Genomic DNA, 13,008 nt, shown 5'->3' on the forward strand with positions numbered 1-13,008 from the left:
TAAAGATTCTTGTAATATTTTTAACACTAATAATTTTTTAAATATGCAAAAATCCCCTCATAATATTCTTGTTTTTACTATCCATAGAGATTACTGGCTGGTTACTTAGCAATGACAAACTTTGGAATGAGTGATACCAACCAGTTGACAATTCTACATCTTACCGCTTAATGGAAAACTCAGGTAATCTCCATTTCAAATACCTTTCAATGAGATCAATACTACACCTGCAATTCAAGTTATCTGAGGCCATTGTAAACTGCTTTTCCATGAAACTATAGCTACATAAGAAATAAATTTCAATTAGCTTAAATTTTTTATTTACATGGTTTCACATAAAAATAAAAATAGAAGGATGACATAAAAATAAATGAAGTTGAGAATTTAGATTTAGTTTTTAAGGGCTCTTTTTCCTACCTGGTCCACCATTGCATCAGTAACATCTATGTTTGGTTTCTGTCCAAAGGGAACTGTCAAAGAGTACAGATTTGTCCAAAATCTACCCCACATATCACCTATATTTAAAAAAGAATCTGTTAGTATATGACAACACAGCAGAAATGTAGACATAATTTATTAAATATATGGACCATCATTGACACTGTAAATTAGAAAGAGATTTCTATAATCTACCATCCATGGTACAAAATATTACAAATTAAGCTGTTAGTAATTCCTAGTGTTGGCTTCAAAAGAGATCATATAAGATCATCATTCAGGAACTTCTACTAACTGGTAACTAAATTCCACTTTTATTCCTATATTCGTGTACTTAACTTGGTGACTTTGTAAACATCTCAAACAAATGTTAAGTTGTATTCCAAGGCCAGGGACCATAAAAAAGAAGATGTATCTAGAAAAAGTCAATCCAAGAGCAGGACCAGAATCCTGGTGCCAAAAAAATGGGGCAACAAACTTCATGAAGAGTACTCCTGTAATCCCAGCACTTTGCAGAGCTGAAGCAGGCAGATCACTTGAGATCAGGAGTTCGAGACCAGCCTGGCCAACATGGTGAAGCCCTGTCTCTACTAAAAATACAAAAATTAGCTGGGCATGGCGGCTTGAGCCTGTAATCCCAGCTACTCAGGAGGCTGAAGCAGGAGAATCGCTTGAACCCAGGAGGCAGAGGTTGCGGTGAGCTGAGATCAGCCACTGCACTCCAGCCTAGGCGACAGAGCGAGACTCTGAAAAAAATAAAAGTACTCCCTAAACTTATATTTTAAAACATAAAATTTAGTAGTGATACATGTGAAGTCCTATGCTTAAATTTTAAAGAAAAACCTATCCATCATAAAAACATATATGTGACATCAGGCTAAAGCACAGTCCACATGTAAAAGACCAAAAATGAGCCAACAAACAGTATGACCTGGCTTCTAAAGCATAAATGTGAACTTGAGCTAAATCAATAGAAGTATAGTGTCTAGAACAAAGGTAGTCATGGTACCATGTCTTTCTTTATGTTGGTCAAACCTCATCTGGAGTAACTGTTCATCTCTAAGCATGATAATTGAGGAGGGACATTGACAAAGTACAGCTCATTGAAAGGAGAACAATTATAGAAAAGTGAGGTTTTAAGGAATGGTTGATAATGTATAAGATATTTAACTTGACAAAAGAAAATAGGGTAAACATGACAATAACAATAATAGTCACTAAAATGTATTGCACCAGGTACTATGCTGTATCTTATATGATGGTTCTTTATGAATATCTGGAAGGTCATCTTGTAGAATAGGAATTGACATTCTGGGTAACCTCATAGCATGGAAATAGGGCTAATGAATGGAAGGCATCAGAGGGGTGTTGCTTAAGTTCCACATAAGGTAGAATTGTATTACATTGGTTCCATGTAGCAGTAAATTAGTCTATATTGGAATGAAGAAATTATCCCATCACACCAGACAGGTTTAAGCAGAAACTGAATTACTAAATAATGCTTGCCATTGACATTGTAGGAAGGATTTCCATATTACTTTAGAGTTAAAAGCCTCCACAGGTCCTTTCTCCGCATTCTCTCCTGCTGACAGACACGAGGTATGGCTGTGGAGGAGATTAGCTTCCAGCAACTTAGTTTGACTACAGTAGAAATGCTATATATGCATGGCATGAAATTTTCAAATATTTATATTTTATTTGGCCTCAGCTGCTGCGGTGGGAGAGGGGAAGATGGTCACTTTCATTCATTCTTCACTTATACGATTCCAAGCCAAGCACTTTTCAGCAAGAGTAATTGGTGAAGTCTAGAATGAACTTAGGAAGCTTTCGCTCAAGCTATAACCTTCTGTTACCCCTGACCACCCCCAGCCAACCAAGCTCTGACAATATGATACTAAAATCTCAAATTCCACCTTAAGAGCTTAGCCAATCAACTTGAATACTAAAAATTATTTTCCCCATTTCCACTCTCATTTGAGCCTGTAATTCTTTCTCTAGTTATCTTAAATAACCCCTTTATCATTTGAATTGCAGCCAAAATAATAACTCTTTATGTACAAAAAAAGTAATACAATAGAGAATTGTTTAAAATAGACTTTTGGTTGAAGAAAATGCTTTCAAAATGCGATTTCTACAATGTTACTAACCACTTACAGAATTTTTCAAAAGTTTTATGTTAAGGCTCACTCAAAAAGGCAATTTTATTGTTAGAAATAACAAAGAGCCAAGTACACGAAGAATTCATGGGGCTTCTTACCAAGCAAATGAGCAGGGAGGCATCCAATTGGACTGATATAGGAAGGATAGGCATTCATCAACTTTGCCCTCACATAGGCATGAAGATGTTCATATAATGGTTTAATCTGAAAAGCCCAGGAAGAAAGTTTAAGACAAAGAGTAACCAATTCTAATTTCCATTCCACAACACTAGAAATAGGAGATTCTTTAAACAAGTAGAATTTCCCCAAATTATAATTCTTCTTCTCTCAAATTTCTGGAAAATTTAAAAGTATTCCTTCTTCCTAGAACTTGATGATAACTCCACTGCATAAACCAATAAACATACTTGGGAGAACACAGGTCCCAAAATAAAAGCAGATGCAAAAAATATATATTCATTTTTAAGATTGTTACCTACTTCCTTTGTTTTTACATTGAGGTATAATTTACATACTATAAAAGCCACCCATTTTCAAGTGTGTAGTTCCATGAGTTTCAATAAATTAAAACTACCGGGAAACCATCACCACTATCTAGTTTTTTAATATTTCTATAACCACAAAAGGTTTCTTGTAGTCAGTTCCACTCCTATCTCCGGCTACTTTGAGTATATCAGAGTCTGTTTATTCATTCACTAGTTGAAGGACAGCTGGGTTTTCCAGTTTGGGGCTATTATGAATATTGCTGCTATGAACATTTGTGTATGTCTTTCTATGGATAAGGACACATGTTTTCATTTATTTCATATAGAAACCTAAGAGTCATGGTAAGTGTGTGTTTAACTTTTTAAGAAATCGCCAAACTGTTTTCCAAAGTGACTGCCCCATTTTACATTTCTTCCTGCACTGTAAGAGGGCTCCAGTGTCTCCACATTCTCCCCAATACTTGGTATTGTCCATCTTTTTAATCATAGCTATCCTGGTGGGTGTGGAGTGGATTTTCATCATAGCTTTAATTTGCATTTCCCTAATAACTTTTTATTTGCCTATTTGCCATTTGTGTAATTTCTTTGATGATGTACTTATTCAAGTCTTCTTCCCATTTCCTTTTTGGGGAGTTGTTTGTCTTACTTCCATTTTTGATAGCTCTGCCAAACTATGGCTGTGACAAGGTAACTCACATCAGAAGTTTGAAGGTTCACGTAAAGGGGAGGCATGGGGCCAAAATGAAGGAAAAACATCCATGGGACATTTCTGTTCACAAAACTCTCTCTTCCCTATGAAGACTAGCTTACTCAAAGTAATAGTATCAATTGTCCTGAGGAAGAAAGCAAAGTCCATAGCTCTGCTAACACAGGAAGACAGTGCCAGCCCCAGGTAGCTCAAGAAGATCATTCCTACTTATAATCTAAAGGACCATTTGTTCTTATAATATTTCATTCTTATAGTCTTTCTATTGGTAATTAATGGTCAGTGACTGAAAGAAGGAGGAAAGCAGCGCAATTCTGATCATCTGTAGGGGCTGTCCTATTATTCTCTAAAATCTTTCAAACTCTAATATTCCATAACTTTATGAGGCCTGGGAATGGCTGACCAATGTGTTAAGAATGAGCCAGAATGCCTTTAGTCACTGTCCCTCTTTCCCATACACTGCCCCACAACTGTTTGTGTGTACAGTTCCTTGCTTACCTCTTCAAAGGTATGTTCCACATCTTCAATCAACTGGCCGCGGCTGTAGTCATAGCCATCTACCCCATTTACTTCATAGTCTCCTCTCCAATAATCCCCATAGTCCTCATAATCTGTTTGTTTTTTTTTTTAAAGAGAAAGGGAAGAACATAAGGGAAAGAAAGAGAGAAAGCACAAAATACATAGATTAGCCTTGCTGGGAGGTTAAAAGAAATTTAAAGGCTTATCACATTTTTATTGTGATAAACATCAACTCAAAGGGATGCAAATGAATAATAACATTAAGTAATCTCTGTTTAAGCACTTGCTCTGTGCCAGGAGTTTAAATGTATTATTTTATTTAATAAGCACAAGAACCATACAAGATTGTCATTATTATAACTCCCACTGTGCAGAGTAACAGCCTATGTTTATTTTTAAATAAATTTTATTGTGTATATTTAAGGTGTACAACATGATGTTATGAGATACTTATATAATAAAATGGTTACTATAGTAAAACAAATTAACATATCCATCATCTCACATAGTTAAGCATTATCCCCCCCATGGAAGAGCAGCTAAAATCTACTCATTTTGCAAAAATCCTGAATACAAAACATTATTACTAACTACAGTCCTTATGTTGTACATTAGATCTTTAGACTTGTTCATCCTGCATATCTGCTACTTTGTATCCTTTAACCCACTTCTCCCCATATCCCACCCCGCTCCACCTCACCCCTGGTAATCACTATTACTCTATCTCTGTATATTTGATTTTTTTGTAGAATCCACTTTTGAGTGAGATGATGCCATATTTTTCTTTTTATGTCTGGATTATTTCACTTAGCATAATGTCCTCCAGGTCTATCCATGTTGAGGCAAATGACAGGATCTCCTCTTTTTTAAGGCTGAATAATATCCCATTCCATATACCCACCACGGTTTCTTTATTCATTCATCCCTTGACAAACACTTAGGTTGTTTCCCTATCTTGGCTATTGCGAATAATGCTGCAGTGAACATGGCAGTGTAGATATCTTTATGAAGTGGTAATTTCATCTAATTTAGGTATATACCCAGAAGAGGGATTGCTGGATCATACGGTAATTCTATTTTTAATTTATTTAGGAATCCTCATACTATTTTTCCATAACAGCTTCACCAGTTTATATTCCCACCAACAACCTGTGCTTAGAGTGGTTAAATCACTTGTCCAAGATCACACAGCTGGTAAGCGAAAGAAGCACATTCCTAGTCTCTTAACCCTGGGTGTGTACTCTCTTGATACATCAGTTTGTATCTTTAGCTTTAAAATATGTGACTGGATCTCTAAGTTTTTAAATTCTTCTTTTGTTCATGGCCTTTTATTTTTAGATCAGACCCAACTCATCTTAGACTTTGCCACAGTGAACCTGTGTTTGTTTGCAAATTATATGTATCAATAGCATGTTTCTATGTGCTTCCTTTAGTATCTCACCATCAGAAAACACAAGCTTGTGTCAGGATATTAGCTAATAAAGTTTGTAAACATAATTTAATAATTTTTATTTTTACATTCACATTGGCAATTAATGATCAGGAAGATGAGGAGAGAAATAAATATTTGGATGAAAGGACATGCAGGATATTGTTTTAAAAATGGTGATAAGCTATTGTCTCCAGCTTGCCTAAGGCTTAAGAATACTGAATTTAAGTGGCAGTGAAAGAAATGTTAAAACAACAAATGCGGGAAAAAAATTCTTCCTTACTCAACCTCAGTGGGCAGTAAATCATCAAAGCAAAATGTGAATCATGATTCCATGACTTCAGCTCACTATTCAGGGAAGAGAATAAGTTAAGAGATATGGAAATTCCTTCCTATGTTAAGATTTTTTATGACCACATAATCTGAGATATAATTACAACTGCAGAAAATAATACATTTCCAGCCTAAACTAATCTGATATTTTTTCTTTCTGGGGTATCACCCTAAGGTAGACACACAAATGACCTTTGAAAGTGAACTGTGGGGGCTTTAGACAAAAGGCAGTGACTCTGTCTTTCATCCTGAGAAATGGGATTCCCCCCCTTAATCCCCAGACTCCCTCGGGAACTTTTAGGGGCCTGAGATCTTCCTAGATTACTTATAATTCATAATTCCTGGATAATTTACTTTAGGCCTTGTAGTTGAGTCTCATTCTTGAGCTTCTTGAATTGTAGAATGCCAGTGCACCTTTTCTTTTTCCCCAGTAATTTCTTTTGAAAACAGGTAATCTGAATTGTTGAGGACATGATTGTTAATTGAGGGGTATCCCTGATATCAAAGGGCAGGCTTGGTAATGCAGAAGAAATAGCCCCGTGGCCACACAGAGAGCTTCAGGACCTCTACAGATCAGCAAACTTACGATTTGCTCTTGCCATCTCATTTTTCAAGACCACATACTCTTCATATAATGGCCTCAGCTGCTTGCCGACCTCAGATCTCCAGCTTTCCCAAGCCCAGAGCCTCTCATTGTAGTCTAAACTGTTTGCCATTATTTCATTCAAACCTGTTATCCCAAAGCACACAAAGACAAGAAAAGATGCCTTTGTAAAAATTTTATTTGTAAAGAACTACATGAACTTTAAAGAATTAAAAGTAAGGTTGGCAGACATCAGGTCATAAAGTGGTTAAATAAAATCTCATGATTCATTCATGTCCTTGCCCTTATAGTTCCAAAATATGTCTGCAGAGAAAATAAACCACTGAAATGACTTACTTACTGACTTGATCAAATTAAGTAAATGTGATACAATTTACAAGAAAGTTTTACTAAAAGTTAAAAGAGCATCTATGTGTTGAAACACACATATCTGCAATCATTTTTAAAATCTGAGAGAAAAGTAAATTTCATAATCACTACTAAAAATTAGTAGCCTACCTGGTTCAAGTAATAAGCATTCTTGTGGATTATCTGGGTTACAAACTTTTCCAGTACTGTAGATGGTGCTCATTGTATTTAGAATTGTGTTCAACTGCAAATTAAAGATAATAAACAATGTTAACAATGGAAATTTTGCTGAAGAGAATGCTAATATAAAGATATCCTTTTGACCACATGATTTTTTGATTACTCAAAATACAGCAATTTACTTCTTTGCCATGTATCTTTCTGTATGTGGAGAAGGAATAGCCCAGTTAAGTTTCCCCACTGTCGACTAGCACAAAGTACTATAAGCACATAATAAATATATATGGAGTAATTGAAATAACCAGATCTACCAAAACCCAAAGAAGTTTTCTTATCCACACATACACAGAGAGGTGCATTTTTTGTTTCATTCAGCATTTATTGAACCTGGAATATGTCCTACACTCTGACAATTCTGAAGTGAACAAGTCAAAGACCATAAAGTCATAGGACAGTGAGGCAGCCATGAAATCAATAACTATTAATACATAACAGAATGACAAGTGCTATAACTGTCACCAAAAAGTGATGCGGTAGTATAGGAGCAGGGAGAAATTAATAACTAATAACCAGGAGATTCAAGAATGGGTCCAAAGAGAAGGGAAGATAAGAGCTGTGTCTTGGAGAAGAAGTAGGCACTGGTCATGTAGAGAAGGGAGGTAGAGGGAAGAGTCTAAAAGATGGAAGGAGGTTGGAAAAGACAAGGCATTCTCAGGGGACAGTGAGATGTTGAATGAAACTGGAGCAATGGTGTTCATTAGGGGAAATGAAAGACATGAGAATGGAGAGACAAGCAGGGGCCAGATCACGAGGGACCGTCTATGCCATACCAAAGTTTTTAAACTTTACCCTGCAGATAAAGTGAAGGTGATATAGTGAAGCAGTGCTACTCCAGGTGTAATCCGTGGACCAGTGCAAGTGACAGTTTGTTTCCATTCTGTGATAAGTACAGGAATTAAGAGAATAAAAGTTTATAAACTTTGGAGAACAATTTGATATTTCCATGACATCTAAGCATGTAATCAATGAACTTAAGCAAGTATTGATCTGCAATGTATTGGAAATAAAGGAATAAAGGAGGGAGAAAGGAAAGACGGGAGGGAGGAGAGAAGGAGGGAAGGAAGAAGAGAAGAAAGGAAGGAAGGAAGGAAGGAAATGGTTCTCTCCCTCAGATTGATTTAAGAAGCACTGGATTAAAGGATCTGTTTCTCCTTCTCCTATTTCCCTTTGGTTCTGCCTTGAGAGTCATCCTAAAACATGAAATAGATCCTATGTTTAAAACTTCCACACGATCCCATAGTCCAAAGGAACAAACCTAAATTCCTTACCATGGCACAAAACCCCTCATGGTCTCTCTCCAGCTCTTCTTCAATCTCCACGGCTTCCTCTCCATCAAATCTAAGCAACCTTGAGTCCCTCCTCTTCCCAAACACTTTAAGCTCTTACATGCATTTCAGTGGTTTTCAGTCCTGGCTACACATTAGAATTATCTGGGGATTTTTTAAAAAATAGAATTTCTAGGTTCCACCTAGGCTAGACCAGATTGTCTATATGCGAATGGGCAAGGTTTCTTATAGTGTCCTTGTTGGGGGAAAAAATGGAGAAACATAGAATGGATAAAGTAAAGTGCATTGATAATTAGTTGGATAATTGGACCCAAAGAATGCAGAAAAATAAATGTTAACTTGTAGAAAGATACATTTCACATGGTTTTATCTTTGCCTTTTTGATGCATTTTTATTTTTATATTCACAGATTAGAACATACAAAGTTCCAGAGGACAAGCAACTGAGAAAGAAGACTTTCTTTTTAAATAGCTAAATATTTTAGGTTAAAAATATTTCAATAGGCTATATCAGAGGTCTGCAAACTGTGTTCTGCAGACCAAATCCTGTCTGCTGCCTGTTTTTGTAAAGTTTTATTTGAACACAGCCATACTTGTTCATTTATATATTAGCTACAGCTGATTTCCTGATACAACAGCACAGTTGACTAGTTGCAACACAGACAATACCTAAATACACAAAACCTAAAATATTTACTGTCATCTGTTCCTTTACAGAAAAAAAAGTTTGCTGTTGACATTGTGGACAAGATCATTCTTTGTTGTTGGGGGCCATCCCATGCATTGTGAAATGTTCTGCAGCATCCCTACCCACTAGATGTCAACAGTATCCCCATTTGTGGCAACCAAAAACGTCTCCAGACATTGTCAAATATCCCCGGAGGGCTAAATCACCCCCAGTTGAGAACCACTGACATAAACTAACTGTATTCTTCAGGCTGCCTGATCCTTCAGGAAGGTGACCTAACACTAGGGGGTGTCCATACACACCACAGTGCCAGGGACAATCTCAGTTTAACTCTGTGTTTGAATATAATAATTACCAGTGTCTTTCACTCTCAAAGATTCCAGTTTGAATAATAAATTATATGGACACCTTACCTAGGCATAGAGAGAGATTTTTCTAACATCAGCATTACTATTTTTTCAAATAAAGGCAGCTGCTGTGGGTGATATTAATGTTTAATATTTCCCAAATATTTCAACTCTTGGGATCAATGCTAAAATGTTCACAAACGTACCCGTTTGCTCTTGTCTTCTGAGAGCACTGAAGACCCATTTTGCTGAAGAGCCTGCAGCTGAAGCTTGACTGTGAGATTCTGAATTTCTTGTAGTGGATACATTTGGGCAAGTGTGGACTGTTCCTTTAAAAAGGCAGACCATTTGTCCCCAGCATTATTCTGAAATGACAGAAAAGAAAATTGAAGTTGGAATGGCATTGCTTGAAGAGATAGAACAGAAGATATAGTCCAAATAATATCTGGTGAAACATTTAATATTTCCTGAGTGATTTAGTCCTCTACTCCGCTGAAGGTCAAGGTTTAGGTTAAGAGTGACCAGGCCACTTTTGACCACTCTCTCTCTCTCTGTCTCTCTCTGGCCTATTGCCTGGTTTTCCCAAGGGTCTTGTCCCCAGAACTGGAAATGAATTCTCACAGATAATCCACATTGTGGGGCCCTGGAATTTATAGCCTTAGTGCTGTGACATAGATGAGTTGGCCAAGAATTCAAAGACGAGTGCTCTAAAAAGAGAATCCAGTAGAGCTCAGAGTGGACTTAATGAGAATACAGCCCCCTAATAACAATGGAAACCATAAGAAATGAGAACCGGTTCACAGTAACCTCCTAGCTGCCGTGACTTAGCCCAGGGATTTTGATCTTAAGTTAGGATTCCCAAAAAAGGCTTCCCAGAAAATGGCCATTGGTAGCCATGGTGATTTTCTACCAGCAAAAGAAATCATCAAGCAAGTGATGATGCCAGGACACATTTCCCCCCCTCCTGAATCTTGAACATCAGTTGGAAAGTGGACTTCTCCAAACTACTGTAGTGTAGTCTTTTCTCAACTTACAAATTCATTTCCATTTACCAAAGACCAAAATGAGCAACTACTTGGTATATTGTACTGCCCTAGACCACACAAAAGAGATAACGTTTGAGGAAAGTAAGAATTCTGCTCCTGGACTCAAGTACCTTAGCCTCTCTGAGCCACAGTTGTCTTATCTGCAAAATGAAAGTAATAATAGGACTTACCTCCAAGGACTGTTGTAAGGATTTGAAGAAGTAACAAAAAAATGAAATGCTTACAAGAGTGCCTAACACATCCTAATCATTCAACAAATGTTAGTTATTTTATTATTTATTTATTATTTATTATGTTATGATTTATTTTATATTTTGTTATGTATAGGGGAAAAGTCGTTGTCCTTAGATTGCTTTCCATTTTATCAGACAGATAAGATATGCATTATAAATGTTTCATTAATGAAACATAAGAGTATATAATAATGTATAAATTATGAGTGGGCCAAGCAGTTTCTGTTACAAGAAAGAGGAAATTCATGCAGGTGACCATACTTGGCCAAGCCCTCATGCAGAAGTTGCAACTTAAGACAGACCTGAAAGTAGGTAGGAGTCAGATGAGTAGAGAATACTTTGCAAAATAATTTACCTCATTTGATTTTCTTAACAACACTATGAGGTAGAAAATCACTCTCTCTCCTTTTTTGTACATACAGAAAGCGGCTGAGAGAAATAAACAGTGGAGCTGGCAATCAGCCACCAGCATTTGATCCTGGCCCTGTGGCAGACAGACTCTAAGAATGCTCCCATGATCTCTGCCTTTGGTGGTCACACCCTTGTGTGATCCCCTCCCCATAAGTATGAGCAGACCCGTGATTTACTTTCAACCAATAGCATACAACACAGGTGACAGGATGTCATGTTTACGTTACATAAGATTTTAACTTTAATCTTGATAGAAGACTCTCTCCTTTGCTGACTTGTTGCAGCAAGATGCCACGTTGTGAGCTACCCTATGGAAAAGGCCACATGGCAAATAATTAAAGACGGCCTCTGAGTAATTGCATTGGCTTGGAAGTATATCCATCCCCAGTCAAGCCTCAGAAGAGACCATAGCTCTAGCCAGCACCTTGAATGCAACCATATGAGACTTAGAAGCAGAAGATCCAGCTGAACTGTGCCTGGACTCCTAGCCCACAGATACTGTGGGATATTAAATATGTGTTGTTTTAATCTGCTAAGCTTGTGGTAACTTTTTACACAATAGATAACTAGTACAGCTCCCACAGGTAGAACTTCAGGCATGATTGCACTTTCCAGGCCAAGGAATTTCACTTTTACCCTCTGAGAATTAGGCAGTCACTGAGGGTTTTGACTACGCATGTGACATGATGGAAATGGTGCACAGAAGTGGCAGTAATGAGCCACACAAGAGACAGAGAAAATAATGGCAGTGAAAATGGAAAATAGGCTGTGTGTAGTGGTTCATGCCTGTAATCCCAGCACTTTGGGAGGTTGAGGTGGGAAGATCGCTTGAGCCCAGAAGTTTGAGACAAGCCTGGGCAACAAGGCGAGACCCCATCTCTGCAAATAATACAAAAACTAGCCAGGTGTGGTGGCTCGCACCTGTAGTCCCAGCTACTCAGGAGGCTGAGGTGGGAAGATTGCCTGAGCTTGGGGAAGTCGAGGCGCAGTGAGCCATGATCACGCCACTGCACTCCAGCCTGAATGACAGAATGAGAATCTGTCTCAAAAAAAAAAAAAAAGGAAAGCAATTTCTTTCTTTACTGAACACTCACAACCTCTCAGAAACTGCTTTTTCATTAATCTTCACAACAACCTTGTGAGGGAGTTGTTATTGTCTCAACTTTACAAATAAGGGAAATGAGGCACACAGCAGGTAACTTTCCCTAGGTCACACAGCTAGAAATTAGAAGAACCAGGGCATCAACCTAGTGTTTACTTCCGAAGCTAATGCTCTGAACTATTATCCTATAGGTTGTATTTGACACATTCTAGTCTTCTCTCTAACATGCAGGAGTGGGAAGAAGTGAGCTATGGGAAGAGGAGTTTGGTCTGCAGCACAAACTCATCTATGCAACCCACCTGACTCACTTCTCAATCCCTACCTGGCTTCACCCAATCCAGATGATTTACTGTGAAGCAAAATTTCTGGTAAAACTTTCATACCAAATTATAGGAATAATTTTACTCTCTATCTATAGGAAATAACTCACTACCTCCCAAAGGCCTCAGTCTTAGAACATTGTTTATCATACTACATGTAGGAATTTTGAGGCTATCCAATTTTATTTTAGTTATCACTACCATACTACATGTGTTATAATTATATCACCAAAAAAATCACTTTGTGTTGCCTTGCATTTTGGCCCCTGAGGAGGTATTATTCCTTGCCAAGCTATTCTTTTAATATCATTTACA

At 37.4% G+C, this 13,008-nt stretch overlaps 1 protein-coding gene across 5 annotated transcripts in view; it reads right to left on the reverse strand.

Annotated features, from left to right (window-relative positions):
- ACE2 (angiotensin converting enzyme 2) overlaps positions 1 to 13,008 on the reverse strand; it is an 89,015-nt gene that overhangs the window by 66,861 nt on the left and 9,146 nt on the right. For all 5 annotated transcript variants that reach the window (NM_001386259.1, NM_001389402.1, NM_021804.3 and 2 more), the window contains 6 exons: positions 9,788 to 9,946; positions 7,172 to 7,265; positions 6,656 to 6,799; positions 4,287 to 4,399; positions 2,696 to 2,801; positions 418 to 515 (listed from right to left, as the gene is read on the reverse strand). In NM_001386259.1, coding sequence (NP_001373188.1) covers positions 418 to 515; positions 2,696 to 2,801; positions 4,287 to 4,399; positions 6,656 to 6,799; positions 7,172 to 7,265; positions 9,788 to 9,946 — 714 coding nt within the window. The remainder of the gene's footprint in view (positions 1 to 417; positions 516 to 2,695; positions 2,802 to 4,286; positions 4,400 to 6,655; positions 6,800 to 7,171; positions 7,266 to 9,787; positions 9,947 to 13,008) is intronic.

This window comes from Homo sapiens, chromosome X (genome assembly GCF_000001405.40).
Source record: "Homo sapiens chromosome X, GRCh38.p14 Primary Assembly".
Classification (NCBI taxonomy): Eukaryota; Metazoa; Chordata; class Mammalia; order Primates; family Hominidae; genus Homo; species Homo sapiens.